Raw genomic sequence first — 17,086 nt, forward strand, 5'->3', positions numbered from 1 at the left:
GATTTTATGGCTAAGGCCTTAAAAGCACAGGCAACAAATTGAAAAACAGACAAATGGGACTATGTTAAACTAAAAAGCTTCTGCATAGCAAAGAAAGCATTCAACAGAATGAAGAGACAACCTGTAAAATGGGGAAAATATACTTGCAAACTATTCATTTGATAAGGTACTAATATCCAGAATATACAAGGAACTCAAACAACTCAACAACAACAAAAAAAGAAATAATCCCATTAAAAAGTGGGCAAAGGGCCAGGCGTGGTGGCTCACACCTGTAATCCCAGCACTTTGGGAGGCAGACGCGGGCGAATCACTTGAGGTCAGAAGTTTGAGACTAGCCTGAGCAGCATGGTGAAATCTCATCTCTGCTAAAAATGCAAAACGTAGCCAAGCATGGTGGCACACCCCTGTAGTCCCAGCTACTCGGGAGGTTGAGGTGGGAGAATCCCTTGAACCTGGGAAGCAGAGGCTGCAGTGAGCTGAGATCACATGACTGCACTCCAGCCTGGGCAACAGAGCGAGACTCTGTCTCAAAAAAATCAGTACAATACAATAAAAAAAAAGTGTGCAAAGGACATGAATACACATTTCTCAAAAGATGACAAATAGCCAACAGCTATATGAAAAAATGTTCAACATCACTAATCATCTGACAAATGCAAATCAAAGCCACCCTGAGGCCGGGTGCGGTGGCTCACGCCTGTAATCCCAGCACTTTGGGAGGCCGAGGCGGGTGGATCACGAGGTCAGCAGATCGAGACCATCTTGGCTAACCCGGTGAAACCCCGTCTCTACTAAAAATACAAAAAAATTAGGCGGGTGCGGTGGCGGGCACCTGTAATCCCAGCTACTCAGGAGGCTGAGGCAGGAGAATGGCATGAACCCGGGAGGCGGAGCTTGCAGTGAGCCGAGATAGTGCCACTGCAGTCCAGCCTGGGCAAAAGAGCGAGACTCCGTCTCTTAAAAAAAAAAAGCCACCCTGAAATATCATCTCACCTCAGTTAGAATGCAAAAAGATGAAAAATAACAAATACTGGCAAGGATACAGAGAAAAGGGAACTCTTATATGCTGTTGGTGGGAATGTAAATTAGTACAACCGTTATGGAAAACCAGCATGCAGATTCCTCAGAGAACTAAAAATAGAACTATTATATGATCCAGCAATCCACTACTGGGCATTTATCCAAGGGAAAGAAAATCATATCCAAGGGATACCTGCACCCTCATGTTTATTGCAGCACTATTCACGACATCCAAGATACGAGCTGGCCATAGTAGCTGCTTGTGCCTGTAATCCCAACATTTTTGGAAGGTCAAGACAAGGAGGATCACTTGAGGCCAGTAATTGGAGACCAGCTAGGGCAACATAGTGAGATTCTGTCTCTACAAAAAAGAATTAAAAACTCAGCTGGGCATGGTGGCCTATGCCTGTAGTCCTAGCTACTCGGGAAGCTGAGGTGGGAGGATCTCTTAAGCCCAGGAATTTGCGGTTGTAATGGAGCCATGATTTCACCACTTGCACTCTAGCCTTGGGCAACAGAGAGAGACCCTTTTTTTTTTTTTGAGATAGGGTTTCCCTCTGTCACCCAGACTGGAGTGCAGTGGCATGGTCTCGGCTCACTTTAGCCTCGACCTTTCTGGGCTCAAGTGATCCTCCCACCTCAGCCTCCTGAGTGGCTGGGACTACAGGCACATGCCACAATACCCAGCTAATGTTTATTTTTTGTAGAGACGGGGTGTCACTATGTTGCTCAGGCTGGTCTCAAACTCCTGGGCTCAAGTGATCTGCCTGCCTTGGCCTCACAAAGTGCTGGGATTACAGGTGTGAGCCACTGCAACTGGCCGACTCTGTCTCTTCCCCGCCCCCGCCAAAAAAAAGGAATATTCTTCATTCCTAAAAAGAATGAAATCTCATCATCTGCAGTAACATGGATGGAACTGAAGGTCGTCATGTTAAGTGAAATAAGCCAGGCACAGAAAAACAAATGTTGCATGTTCTCACTCATATGTGAGGCCTAAAAAAAGTTCATCTCATGGAGGTAAAGAGATAGTTACCAGAGGCTGGGAACAACTTGGGGAGGATAAAGAGAGAGGCTGGTTAATAGATACAAACGTGGATAGAAGGAATAAGTTCTAGTGTTTGACAGCATAATAGAGTCACTATAGTTGACAATAACTGCATATTATTTGTATATTTCAAAATAGCTAGAAGATTGGAAATATTTCCAACTCAAAGAAATGATAAAGGTTTGAGGTGATGGAAACCTTAAATACCCCAATTTGGTTCTTTTGTTTGTTTGTTTTGAGATGGAGGTTTGCTCCGTTGCCCAGGCTGGAGTACAAAGGCGCCATCTCAGCTCACTGCAACCTCCACCTCCCTGGTGCAAGTGATACTCGTGCCTCAGCCTCCCGAGTAGCTGGGATTACAGGCGCCCGCCACCAAGCTTGGCAAATTTTTGTATTTTTAGTAGAGATGGGGTTTCACCACACTGGCCAGGCTAGTCTTGAACTCCTGACCTCAGGTGATCCACTAGCCTTGACCTCTCAAAGTGCTGAGATTACAGGTGTGAGCCACCATGCCCAGCCAAAATATCCCAATTTGATCAGTACATATTGTATACATGTATCAAAATACCACATGTACCTTGTATGTACAATTATTATGTATTAATTTTAAAAACAATTTCAGAAAAAGAAGATCTCAACAATCTAACATTACATCCCAAGGCACTAGAGAAAGAACAGACGAAGCCCAAAATTAGCAGAAGGAGGGAAATAACAAAGATCAAAGCAGAAATAAACAAGGACTAGAAAAACAACAACAACAAAATCAATGAAACTAAGAGTTGTTTTTTTAAAAGATAAACACAATTGACAAACTATTAGCTAGACTAAGAAAAAAAGACAACTCAAAATCAGAAATGAAGCCGAGTACAATGGCTCATGCCTGTAATCCCAGCACTTTGGGAGGCCAAGGCAGGTGGATCACTTGAGGTCAGGAGTTCAAGACCAGCCTGGCCAACACAGTGAAACCCCCATCTCTACTAAAAATAAAAACACTAGCTGGGCATAGTGGCACACACCTGTAGTTCTAGCTAGTTGGGAGGCTAAGGCAGGAGAATCACTTGAATCCAGGAGGCGGAGATTGCAGTGAGCCAAGATCGTACCACTGCACTCCAGCCTGGGCAATAGAACGAGACTCCATCTCAAAAAACAGCAGAAACAAAAGAGGACACATTACAATTCATAACACAAATATAAAGGATCCTAAGAAACTACTATAAACAATTATACATCAACAAATTGGATAGTCTAGAAGAAATGTATAAACTCCTAGGTACATACAACCTACTAAGACTGAATTATGGAGAAATAGGAAATCTGAAAAGGCAAGGCATGGTGGCTCATGCCTGTAATCCCAACAGTCTGGGAGGCCAAGTGGGTGGCTTGATTGAGCCCAGGAGTTTAAGACCAGCCTGGGCAATATAGTGAGACCCCATCTCTACAAAAGATACAAAAATTAGCCAGGCATGGTGGCATGTGCCTGTAGTCCCAGCTACTAGGGAAGCTGAGGTGGGAGGATCAGTTGAGCCCAGGAGAAGGTTGCAGAATAGATCAATTACAATGAAATTGAATTAGTAATAAAGTCTCCCATCAAAGAAAAGCTCAGGACCAGACTACTTCACAGCTGAATTCTACCCAACATTTAAAGAAGATCTAGTACCAATCCTTCTCAAACCCTTCCAATAAATTGAACCAGAGAGAATTTTATGAGGCCAGCAATACCCTGATACTAAAGCCAGACAAGGACAGTACAAGAAAAGAAAATTACAAGGCAAGAGCCCTGATGAACATAGATGCAAAAATCCTCAACAAAATAGTAGCAAATCAAGTTCAACATCATATTTTTTATTTTATTTTTTGAGATAGAGTCTCACTCTGTCACCCAGGCTGGAATACAATGGTGCAGACCTCCACCTCCTGGATTCAAGTGATTCTCCTGCCTCAGCCTCCTGAGTAGCTGGGACTACAGGTGTGTGCCACCACGCCAGGCTAATTATTTTGTATTTTTAGTAAAGACAAGTTTTCACCATGTTGTCCAGGCTGGTCTCGAACTCCTAACCTCAAGTGATCCACTTGCCTCGGCCTCCCAAAGTGCTGGGATTACAGGAATGAGCCACCACATCCAGCCACTCACCACTTCTTTTCAGCATAGTACTGGAATTCCTAGCCAGAGCAATTAGGCAAGAGAAAGAAATAAAAGGCACGCCAATAGGAAAAGAAAAAGTGAAATTCTCTGTTTGCTGAGGACACGATCTTATATAGAGAAACCCCTAAAAACTCCACCAAAAAACTGTTAGAACTGAAATGAATTCCATAAAGTTGCAGGATACAAAATCAACATATAAAAATCAGTAGCTTTTTTTTTTTTTTTTTTGGTGAGACAGGGTCTTGCTCTGTCACCCAGGCTGGAGTGCAGTGGCAAAATCACAGCTCACTGCAGCCTCAACCTCCTGGGCTCAAGCGATCCTCCCACATCAGCCTCTGGAGTAGCAGGTGTGCACCACTATACTTGGCTATTTTTTTTTTAATTTTATGTAGAGACAGGGTCTCCCTATGTTGTCCGGGCTGGTCTTGAACTCCCGGACTCAAGCAATCCTCCCACCTCTGCCTCCCAAAGCGCTGGGATTACAGGTATAAGCCACTGCATCCGGCTACAGTGGCATTTCTATACATTACTGACAAACTATCCAAAAAAGAAATTAAGAAAATAATCCCATTTGCAATAGCAAAAACAACAAAAACTACTTAGGTGTAAATTTAACCAAGGAGGTGAAAGATACTGAAGACTATACGTATTGAAGAAAGAAACTGAAGAAAATGCAAATAAATGGAAAGATATCCTGTGTTCTTGGATTTGAAAAATTAACATTGCTAAAATGTCCATACTACGTAAAACAATCTACAGATTCAATGCAATCCCTATCAAAATTCCAATGAAAATTTTACAGAAATAGAAAAAAATCCTTAAATTTATATGCAATGACAAAAGACCTCAAATTGCCAAAACAATCAGGCCAAAAGAACAAAGCTGGATGCATCGCACTCCCTGATTTCAAAATATGTTATTACATAAAGCTATTATAATCAAAACAGCATGTTCTGGCATAAAAACCGAACTGTAGACCAGTGGAACAGGATGGAATGCTCAGAAATAAACCCATGCATTTATGGTCAAATGATTTTCCACAAAGGTGCCAAGAACATACAATAGGGCAAGGACAGTAAATAAATGGTGTCAGGAAAACTGGATATTCACAGGCAGAAGAATGAAAGTGGATCCTTATATCATAAACAAAAACCGGCTCAAAATGGATTAAAGACTTCAATATAAGACCTGAAACTATAAAACAACTAAAAGTAAACATGGAGACGCTACACAGCGTTGGCCTAGACAATGATTATTTTGGATGTAACCCTAAAAGCACAGGCAATAAAAGCAAAAATAGACAAAGGGAATTGCATCAAATGTAAAAGCTTCTGCACAGCAAAGGAAACAATTAACAAAGGGAAGAGATAACACAAAGAATAGGTGAAAATATTTGCAAACCATACATCTGATAAGCAGTTAATATCTAAAATATATAAGAAACTCAACTCATTAGCAAGAAAACAAATAAGCTGATTTTAAAATGGGCAAAGAACCAGAACAGATATTTCTCAAGACATACAAATGTCCAGTGGGTTCATGACAAAAATGTTCAACATCATTAAGCATTAAGGAAATAGAAATTAAAACCACAATGAGCTATCACTTCACACCTGTTAGAATGGCTACTATCAAAAAGATGAAAGTTAACAAGTGTTGGCAAAGATGTGGACATAAAGGAATCCTGTACTTTGTTGGTGGGAATGTAAATTAGTACTGTCATTATGGAAAATGGTATAAAGATTTAAACAACTAAAACTAAGCCAGGTGTGGTAACACATGCCTGTAGTCTCAGATACTTGGGAGGCTGAAGTGGGAGGAACGCTTGAGCCTGGGAGTTCAAGGCTGCAGTGAGCTATGATTGTGCCACTGTACTCCAGCCTGGGTGACAGAGCAAAACCCAGTCTTTAAAAACAATAACATCAACAAAAAAAAAACCCTACCACCAGCAATCTGACTTGTGGATATACGTCCAAAGGAATGGAAATCAATACATTGAAGGGATATCTACATGCCCATGCTCATTGCAGTATTGTTCACAATAGTCAAGATATGGAATCAAACTAAGTGTCTGTCAGTGGATAAATGAATAAAGAAAACATGATATATTTGGAATACTATTCAGCCTTTAAAAAGGAAATTCTGCCATTTGCAACAGCATGGGTGGAACTGGAGGACATTATGCTAAGTGAAATAAGCCAGGCACAGAAAGACAAATACTGCACGATTTCACTTATATGTGGAATCTATTGAACTCACTGAAGTAGAGAGTAGAATGGTGGTTACCACAGGCTGGGGAGGGGAGTGAGGAATCAGGAGTTTTTGGTCAAAGGGTATAAAGTTTCAGTGAGGAAGTTTGAGATCTATTGCGTGGCAGAGTGGCTATCGTAAATAAAAGGTATTGTGTATTTCAAAATAGCTGAGCAAATTTCAAATGCCTCACCACAAAAAATAAGTGAGGTGAGGAATATGTTAGCTTGATTTAATCATTCCACATTTTGTGTGTGTGTGTGTGTATATATATGTATATATGTATGTGTGTGTATATATATGTATATATGTATATGTATATGTATATATGTATATATGTGTATATATGTATATATGTATATGTATATATGTATATGTATATATGTATATGTATATATGTATATATGTATATGTATATATGTATATGTGTATATGTATATGTATATATGTATATGTATATATGTATATTATATATGTATATGTATATATATGTATATATGTATATGTATATATGTATATGTATATAATCTCTCAAAACATCACATTGCACCCCATTAATGTATAAAATTTTGATTTATCAATTAAAAATAATATTAATGAGTTTAAAAGCTAATGTATTGATGGATTAATATCATTAAAGATAACATTGAAGAGAAAAAACAGCTATAGAAGAATAAGTTCAGTATGATACTACATTTAGAGAACATGCAAAACAGAAAATGCAAACATTTGTGGAAAAGAATACATGGGAATAATATACACCGAATTCGGGTAATGGTTACATCAGGAAACGGAAGGGAGCGGGATCATTAAAGACACACAGGGGGCTTTTCTTTTATACAGTATTATATTATTTTATTTTAGGCAGGGTTTCTCTCTGTTGCTTAGGCCGGAGCGCAGTGGCACTATCTCAGCTCGCTGCAGCCTCAACCTCCCAGGCTCAAGAGATCCCCCCACCTCAGCCCCTCGAGTAGCTGGGACCACAGGTATGCACCACCATGCTCTGCTAACTTCTGTATTTTTTTGTAGAGATGGGGATTCGCCATGTTGCCCAGGCTGGTCTCCAACTCTTGAGCTCAAGCAATCCTCCTGTCTCAGCCTCCCAAAGTGCTGGGACTACAGGCGTGAGCCACTGCTCCTGGCCTGTATTTTATTTCTTTACCTAGGTGGCAAATAGCATGAATACTTACTCCGTTCAGATTCCTGTGCCTGAAGTATTTCATTGTTTTAAAAAACACTCTTTCTAGAAACCAATGATTTGAGGAGGGTTGAAGGAGTTAGATATTGTTAGCATATGGTTGCCATTTCCAAATATTTGAAGGAACATGTATAAGAAAAAAAGGTATTCTGTTTGCTAATGCATATGTACAAGCATGTGTTAACTGTAAGCCACATACATATTGCTATCACTGCTTCAGAGGACAGATTTAGGACAAATGGGAAGACACTACAAGGAGGCAGGTAGATTTGGGCTCAATATAGACATGTTTAACAATCAGAGGCAGCACAATGTCAGAGACGAGAGCAAGACGGTTTGGAGCCAGCCTGCCTGGGTTCAGATCTTGGCTCTGCTCTTTGTAGGCAGTATGATTTGGGGCAAATTATTTAACCTCTCTGTGCCTGTTTCCTATTCTGTAAAATGGGAATAATACAGAGTGCCTACCTCGTAGGCTAGAATAAGGATTAAATGGTTGATTATTTGTAAAGTGCTTAGAACAGTGCCTGATACATAATAAACACTATGTAAGTGTTCGTAAAATAAATCTAACAAAGAATCTAGCAAATGAAGAGCCTGCCTTGTAAAGCAGTAAACTCTTCAAGGGCTCATGCAAAGGCTGGATAAATCTCTTTTAAGGATGGTGCAGGGATATCCTTCCCTTCTAGTCTACAGATGTATGCTTCTTAAACTTCATTATGCACAGAAACCACAGAGGGATCATATTAAAATGCAGATTCTAAGCCAATGAGCCTGAGGTGGGGCCTGAGATTCTTTTTTTTCTTTTTTCTGAGACGGAGTCTCGTTCTGTCATCCAGGCTGGAGTGCAGTGGCACGATCTCAGCTCACTGCAACCTCCGCCTCCCAGGTTCAAGTGATTCTCCTGCCTCAGCCTCCTGAGTAGCTGGGACTACAGGCACATGCCACCACGCCTGGCTAATTTTTTTTTGTATTTTTAGTAGAGATGGGGTTTCACCATGTTGGTCAGGATGGTCTCAATCTCCTGACCTCATGATCTGCCCACCTCAGCCTCCCAAAGTGCTGGGATTACAGGTGTAAGCCACCATGCCCGGCCTGAGATTCTTTATTTCTAACAAGTGGTGCCAATGCTACGGTTCTCCTGAGGACCACACCTTAAGTAGCAAAGCTCTAGATGGTTTTATTCCTACTGTCATGCATCATAATTTCAAAGATGCTTAGTTTTTTATTGTTGTTTTTTTTTTTTTGAGACCGAGTCTCACTCGCTCAGGCTAGAGTACAGTGGCCCAATATCGCTCACTGCAACTTCTGCCTCCTGGGTTCAAGCAATTCTCCTGCCTCAGCCTCCTGAGTAGCTGAGATTACAGGTGCATGCCACCACACCCAGCTAATTTTTTTGTATTTTTAGTAGAGACGGGGTTTCACCATGTTTGCCAGGCTGGTCTCAAACTCCTGACCTCAGGTGATCTGCCCGCCTCGGCCTCCCAATGTGCTGGGATTATAGATGTGAGCCACCATGCTCAACCTCACAGATGCTTAGTTCTTACCTCTGATGAATCTTCAATTTGCAGCAAATTCTAAACACAGTTCTCTTTCGAAACCAACTTTTGACCCCTTAATTAACCAATAATAGTTTGATTACTAAAAGAACTAAGTTTTTTTTTTTTTTTTTTTTTTAGAGATGGGGTTTTGCCATGTTGCCAGGGCTGCTAGCTTGAACTCCGGGACTCAAGTGATCCTCCTATCTCAGCCTCCCAAAGTGCTGGGATTACAGGCGTGAGCCACTGCACCCAGCCTAGGAGTAAGAATTTATAGGAGGTTTGGGGTGATGTTTTATATAAACATATATTTCCATACTGCACATAATTACTTTTTTTTTTTTAAGAGATGGAGTCTTGCCCTGTCATCCAAGCTGGAGTGCAGAGGAGCAATCATAGCTCACTATAGTCTCTAACTCCTGGCCCCAAGTGATCCTTCCACGTCAGCCTCCACAATTGCTGGAATTATTAATACAAGAGGGAGCCACTGAGCTCAGCAATAATTATAATTTTTATATTCAATTCAGATTTTTGTCATTTGGATTTTCTTAAAGCAGAAACATCTATATGAGAAATAAAAATAGTAAAATATAAGGGAGGCAGTTCCTGCACTGTTCGGGAATCTACATTAGAGTCTGCATTTGATATAATAGAGAAGAGGATGCCACTCTAGATTCCCAAGCAAGGAAGTGAGAGAAGAAAAACCATGTTTGGGAGCAGGATAAATTGGAAAGGAGAATGTTGAGACTCGAAGTGAAAACACAAAATACAGAACTGATAATTTTGTTAAAGTGTGGAGGTATGGTTCTGAGAGCTGCTAATGAGGAAGACCAGTGGGATTCACATCTTAGAATACATTAATTCAACAATAAGCTGAAGAGGCAAATTAGACTTCGGTGGACTCTGGTGAATCCTACTGGGCTCCGGTGGGAGTCTCAACCATTTGATATGACATAACTGGACCTCCAGGTACAATTTGAAATATGAGTATGTTCTGAGACTGATCGTTAACACCGTGATCCAGAACAGAAACCCACAGAATGGCTTGCTACTTGGGGATGGTTGATATGAGTTCCGGTGGTTTGGTCTAAATTATACTCCATGCTTTCTTTCCTTCAGGAAATCTTTATTGATCATAGTCGACTTAGAACCATAGGGACCCCAGCGTTTTTCTAGGCCTGGCTGCATACAGGAATTGAATCTTGTGGCTAGTATGTACCTACTCTTTTGGGGCTTGGTCACAAAGTGGTTCACGGTTATTCAACATAAAGCTATCAGAGGCTGGGCATGGTGGCTGATGCTTGTAATCCCAGCACTTTAAGGGGCCAGGGTGGGAGGGTCCCTTGAGCCCAGGAGTTCAAGACCAGCATGGGCAGCATAGTGAAACCTCATCTCTACTTTAAAAAAAAAAAAAAAAAAATTGGTGGCACATGCCTGTAGTCTCAGCTACTTGGGGAGGATCAGTTGAGTTGGAGGCTGCAGCGAGCTGGGATTGCACCACTGATGGCACTCCAGCCTGGGCAACAGAGCAAGGCCCTGTCTCAGAAACAATTTTAAGCTGTTGGAACCAACTTCTGCTGCTGCTGCTTCTAGGAGCACAATTTGCAGTATCCTTAGATCTTAGATCTGAAATAGCCACTGAGTGGAGAGAAAATAGAGAGGCAGTGAACAGTATATTTTATTTCTTTGTTCCTCTACTTGTCTAGGTCAAAGTGGAGAGTTTCCTGGTCTATATTTTTTAAAAGTAGGGCATAAGCCAGGGAGAGACAGGAGAAATAGGGATTCAAGCAGATAATTCTGGAGTTTTCTTTAAAATTGGATTACTTTTAACAGTTTGTTTTTACTCACCACCACTGCACAGAGGTTGTATTTAGGATATTTCCGGAAAATTGAGCAAATATAAGGAGTGAGGTCCAAGTTAGTGAGTGGGTAATGAATATCCGTTCTCAGCTTCCTTTTTGTTGTACCCTGAATGTCAAACCTGCAGGTATAATAAATGTGTGAAATACAAAGTAAGCTTGTGAACCACTCATTTGTCTACATGACAAATTCCGAGTATTTTAAAAGTAATTTCTTGACTGGGCACAGTGGCTCATGCCTGTAATCCCACAACTTTGGGAGGCCAAGGTGGACATATCCCTTGAGCCTAGGAGTTTGAGACCAGCCTGAGTAACATGGCAAAACCCCGTCTCTACATAAAATTCTCACCTGTAGTCCCAGCTACTCAGGAGGCTAAGGTAGGAGGATCACCTGAGCATAGGGAGGCTGAGGCTGCAGTGAGTCGTGATTGTGCCACTGCACTCCAGCCTGGGTGACAGAGTGAGACCCTGTCTCTAAAAAAAAGGAACTTCTGGCCTGGCAAGGTGGCTCACGCCTGTAATCCTAGCACTTTGGGAGGCTGAGGCGGGTGGATCACTTGAGGTCAGGAGTTAGAACCAGCTTGGCCAATATGGTGAAACCTCGTCTCTACTAAAAATGCAAAAAAATTAGCCGGGCATGGTAGTGGATGCCTGTAATCCCAGCTACTCGGGAGGCTGAGGCCGGAGAATTGCTTGAACCTGGGAGGCGAAGGTTACAGTGAGCTGAGATCGCACCACTGCACTCCAGCCTGGGTGACAGAGCGAGACTCCTTTCCAAAAATAAAAAATAAAAAAAAAAAGTAATTTCCTGGAAAGATTATTTGGTACAGACTTATAAATTACTTTTTTCTTATCTATTTAAATACCGCATCCACAAGCCTCACCAAAATGAGACTGGAATTTGAATCAAGGAGTGAGATAGCAAAGATTCAAGCTAAACTGAATCTAGCAGGGCAAAAAGAAAGGGATAACCAAGGCTCAACATTGGGGGAAGCAGAAACCCCATTGATAATTCCTGAGGCTTTTGCTCCAGCTGAGCCTATTTATTCTAACCAAGCTAGCTCAGCTTTTCCTTATCTTGTTTTCAGCACAGGTAGTCTTGGCAATGTCCTGTTTTCAAGCTCTGAGTTTTTGTTTGTTTTTTTTTAATGTTTTAATAAGAACATTTTGTGAAAATCTTTCACATTCTGTATTGTTACATGGATCCTAAGTTTGTAAATCTGGGCTCACATCAGAGTTACTCAGAAGCTTTTAAAAATATAATTATGTTCATTTTGGAAAAATGGCTGATGGAGGTCTGAGGCCGGGAAATTACCGCGACTGAGACATTCTTGTGTCAGAAAGCAAGATACCCTGTTTTCAAAAAACTAAGGGAATGCCATGTGATCCAGCAATTCTGTACCTAGGTATCATCCCAAGAGAAATGAAGCCTTAGGCCCACATAACAAGCTATCTGCTAGTATTTGTAGAAGTTGTATTCCTAACTATGCAAAACTGTAAACAACCCAAACGTCCATCAACTGGTGGAGACATAAGCAACTATGGTACACTCACAAAAAGGAATAGCACACAGCAATAAAAAAGGCACTACTAATGCACGCAACAACACAAAAGAATCATGCTAAGTGAAAGAAAAACTCTGAAAGCTACATACAGTATGACATAGCACGTTCTGGAAAACAAAATTATAGGGACGGAAATCAGATCAACAATTTCTATAGGCTTAGGGAGGAGAATGATTAGAGAGGAGCATGAGATAACTTTTTGGGGTGATGGAAATGGTTTATATGTTGGTTGTAATGGTTACATGACTGCATGCATTTGTCAGAGTTCATAGAACTGTGCACCTAAAAATGATACATTTTAGGTAAGCATACCCTAATAAACTAATGGGGCCCCAGGAGCTGACTTGAAGGGGCTCCCACTGGCCAATTTTGAACAATTTGAACACCAAAAGCAATGATGAGAGACATCTAGTTTTCAGTTCAACACGTAAGGAAACTTTGAAGTCACCATTCTGTCCTAACAAGTTAAAAGCTAAATAAAGCTTTTGGTTATTTTCCTTCCCTCAGGAAGGAAAGAATTAACCGAAAGGAAAATAAACAGCTCTTCTTAGAGCTGAAAGAGCAGTGAGGTCACAGGACAAACCACTGCCCCCAAAACTGGAAAAACAGACCAGCAAACATAGAGAATCACAGACTTACCAGAGCCAAAACTGCCGAGCAGAAACCTCTGAGGGAACAGGTCTGCGTAGGAAAACCTGAACTGTAATTGATGAATTGCTAGAGGCTCAGTGCAGAGTCTGAGAGTTAAAAACTCCAAAGAATCCAGTCACAGGGGGACCACACTTTGTGAATTTTCCTTCCAGGAGCCCAACCACACTCGCACGGTAAATATTAGAGACAAATCTCCTCATGCTTCTGGCAAGAAGAAGGGAAAGAAACCATTCTGAAATAGGCTAAAGCACCCTGTTCGTAAAGCCTGCCCACAGGAGAAACTCATTAACCAGAGCCTAACCTGCTGGGGTCTTATCAGAGCTTAACTAACCTGGGAGAAGGAAAACACCCAACTCCAGCCCACTCTAGCCATCCTGTTCCACCGAAGCGGGTGTGGAGGGACTGAGCAGCGCTTGTGAAGTTCGTAGTCTGGAGGCTGAAGTTCATTAAAAGACCGAGACCCACTCATAGGATTATGGAACGCTTCCCCTCCCCCTCCGCCTTACCACCCCATCATTAAGGTCTATTTAAGTCAGTTTCTCTTACCCAGTTCATCATATCTGGCTATCAGGAAAAAATTACAAGGCATACTAAAAGGCAAAACACACAGTTTGAAGAGACAGTAAGCATCAGAACCAGATAGCGCAGGGGTGTGGGAATTTTCAGACTAAGAATTTAAAACTGATCAACACACTAAGGGTTCTAACGAATAAAGTAGACAGCATGCAAGAACAGACGGTCAATGTAAGCAGAGACTTGGAAATCCTAAGAATGAACGAATGAACCAAAAGAAATGCTAGAGGTATCCTTGTTAGTACAGTGGTTAGTTTCTTTTCTTTTCTTTTAACTACTAGAGGAAAAAACTGCATCTTCTAACATGTGAAGAATGCCTCTGATGGGCTCATTAGTAGACTGGACACAGCTGAAGAAAGAATCTCTGAGCTTGAGGAACCTCAGTAGAAACTTTTAAAACTGAAAAGAAGAAAGAAAAAAGACTGGCCGGTCAGGCGCAGTGGCTCACGCCTGTATCCCAGCGCTTTGGGAGACCAAGGTGGGAGAATCGCTTGAGCCCAGGAGTTTGAGACCAGCCTGGGCAACAAAGTAAAAGCCCCTCCCCCTGCCCCCACCATGCCTCCTAAAAAAAAAAGAAACAAAGAAAATAGACTAAAAAAAAAAAAAAAGCACAACAATATCCAGGGACTGTGGGACAACTACAAAGATGTAACATCTGTGTAATGGCAATACCAAAAGAAAAAGAACAGAAAAAATATTTGAAACAATAATGACTGAGAATTTTCCCAAATTAATGCCATACACCAAACCACAGATACAGGAAGCTCAGAGAACACCAAGAAAGATAAATACCAGAAAAATGACACCTAAGCATTTCATTTTCAAACTGCAGAACATCAAAGATAAAGAAAAAAATCCTAAAAGAAGCCAGAGTGGGGGGGAAAAAAACACACCTATAGAGGAGCAAACATAAGAATTACATCTAACTTCTCAGAAACCATGCAAACAAGAAGAAAGTGGAAAAAAATATTGAAAGTGTTAAAAGGAAAAAAACCCACCAACCTAGAATTCTGTAGTGTAAATTAACCTTCAAACGTGAAGGGAAATAAATACTTCACTGGACAAAGAAAAATTAAGGGAATTTTTTGCCAGTAGACCTGCCTTGCAAGAATGTTAAAAGAGGTCTGGCACGGTGGCTCATGCCTGTAATCCCAGCTACTTTGGGAGGCCAAGGCAGGTGGATCACTTGAGGTCAGGAGTTCAAAACCACCCTGTTCAACATGGTGAAACCCCGTCTCTACCAAAAATACAAAATTAGCCTGGCATGGTGGTGTGGGCCTGTAGTCCCAGCTACTCGGGAGGCTGAGGCAGGAGAATCGCTTGAACCTGGGAGGCAGAGATTGCAGTGAGCCGAGATCATGCCACTGCCCTCCAGGCTGGGCAACAGAGTGAGACTCCATCTCAAAAAAAAAGAAATGTTAAAAGAAATCGTTTACAGAGAAGGAAAATGATATAGGTCAAACACTTGGATCTACATAAAAAGCACTGAAGAAGGAATAAGTGAAGGTAAAATGAAAACTTTTATTTTTCTTATTATTAATAACAGTTTATTCAAAACAATAATAGGGACAATATATTCAATTATGTATGCTTATGCATATATCATATATATTCTTGTGTATCTTTATATATAAGTGAAATGAATGACAGCAGTGATACAAGGAAAGCAGTATGGTATTATTTGAAAGTGGACCAGGATTAGTTGTAAATGTATATTGCAAACTCTAGGGCAACCACTAACAAATGTTTTAAAAAGTATAACTGATGTGGTAATAAAGGAGAGAAAATGGAGTCATATAAGATGCTCAGTAAAACCACAAAAAGCAGGAAAAGAGTGGTAGATAAAAACAGGAACACCAAGAACAAGGGCAACAAATAGCAGTAACAAATACAACAGATATTTAACCCAACGGCATCAACAATCACTTTGAATGTCGATGGTCTATATACATTAATTAAAACACAGATTGTTTTAATCCGTGAATCAAAAACAAAATTCAACTGTGTACTGTGTACAAGAAACATACTTGAAATATAAAGACACACAGAGCCTAAAAGTAAACAGAGGAAAATATACCATCCTACCACTAAGAAAGTGGGAGTAGCTATATTAATTTCAGACAGAGCAGTCTTCAAAGCAAAGTGATTGAGGATAAAAAGGGCCATACATAATGATAAAGGGATCACTTTTTCAAGAAGACATAGAAATTATTAACATATATGCACCTAACAACAAAGGGTCAAAATACATGAGGAAAAACTGGCTGGGTACCGTGGCTCATGCCTGTAATCCCAGCATTTTGGGAGGCCGAGGTGGGCGGGCCACTTGAAGTCAGGAGTTCAAGCCCAGCCTGGCCAACATGGCTAAACCCTGTCTCTACTAAAAATACAAAAACCAGCCAGGTGTGGTGGCACGCACCTGTAATCCCAGCTACTGGAGGCTGAGACACAAGAATTGCTTAAACCCAGGAGGCAGAGTTTGCAGTGAGCCAAGACGGCACCACTGCACTCCAGCCTGGGCAACAGAGTGAAACTCTGTCACACACACACACACACACACACACACACAAAAATTGATAGAAGTGCAAGGAGAAATAGATGAATCACTTTTATAGTTGGAGATATCAACACACCTCTGTCAGAAATGGACAGATCCAGCAGGCAAAAAATTAGTAAGGACATAGTTAAACTCAACGACACCATCTGTCCATAGATGTAATTGACATCTGTAGACTCTTTCACCCAACAACAGCAGAATATATATTATTCTCAAGCTCACATGGAACATTCACCAAGCCTCTAGCTAGGCTAAATAAGGGTAAGTTAGACCTTCTGGCCTAAGGTGTGCTTGTTAAAACACACTTTAACAAATTTAAAATAATAGAAATCATACAATCTCTGCTCTCAGACCACAATGGAATTAAACTAGAAATAACAGAAAGATAATTAGGAAATCCCCAAATACATGGAGATTAAGCAACACACTTCTAAATAACACAAGTCAAAGAAGATAGCTTGAAAGAAATTTCAAAATGGGCTGGGCACAGTGGCTCACGCCTGTAATTCCAGCACTTTGGGAAGCCAAGGTGGGAGAATCTCTTGAGCCCAGGAGTTCAAGACCAGCCTAGGCAACATAGTGAGACATCAACTCTACAAAAAAATTTTAAAAATTAGCTGGGCATGGTCCTAGCTACATACCTTTATCCCAGGTATGCAAAGCTGGTCCTACATTGGAAAAATTAAT

The 17,086-nt window shown here is 41.0% G+C and overlaps 1 protein-coding gene across 5 annotated transcripts in view; it reads right to left on the bottom strand.

Moving 5' to 3' along the window:
• Positions 1–17,086, bottom strand: part of USP50 (ubiquitin specific peptidase 50) — a 53,642-nt gene that overhangs the window by 25,730 nt on the left and 10,826 nt on the right. For 4 of the 5 annotated variants that reach the window (XR_007064444.1, XR_007064443.1, XM_047432465.1 and 1 more), the window contains one exon: positions 11,043–11,175. Coding sequence is in view for 2 of the 5 variants with exons in the window: in XM_047432465.1 (XP_047288421.1) it covers positions 11,043–11,175 (133 nt within the window). In the remaining 3 variants the exon portion in view is untranslated. Of the gene's footprint in view, positions 1–11,042; positions 11,176–13,257; positions 13,474–17,086 lie in introns of all 5 variants that reach the window. The other variant, XR_007064445.1, reaches the window with a different exon arrangement.

The sequence above is a fragment of the Homo sapiens genome, chromosome 15, assembly GCF_000001405.40.
Source record: "Homo sapiens chromosome 15, GRCh38.p14 Primary Assembly".
NCBI classification, from domain to species: domain Eukaryota; kingdom Metazoa; phylum Chordata; class Mammalia; order Primates; family Hominidae; genus Homo; species Homo sapiens.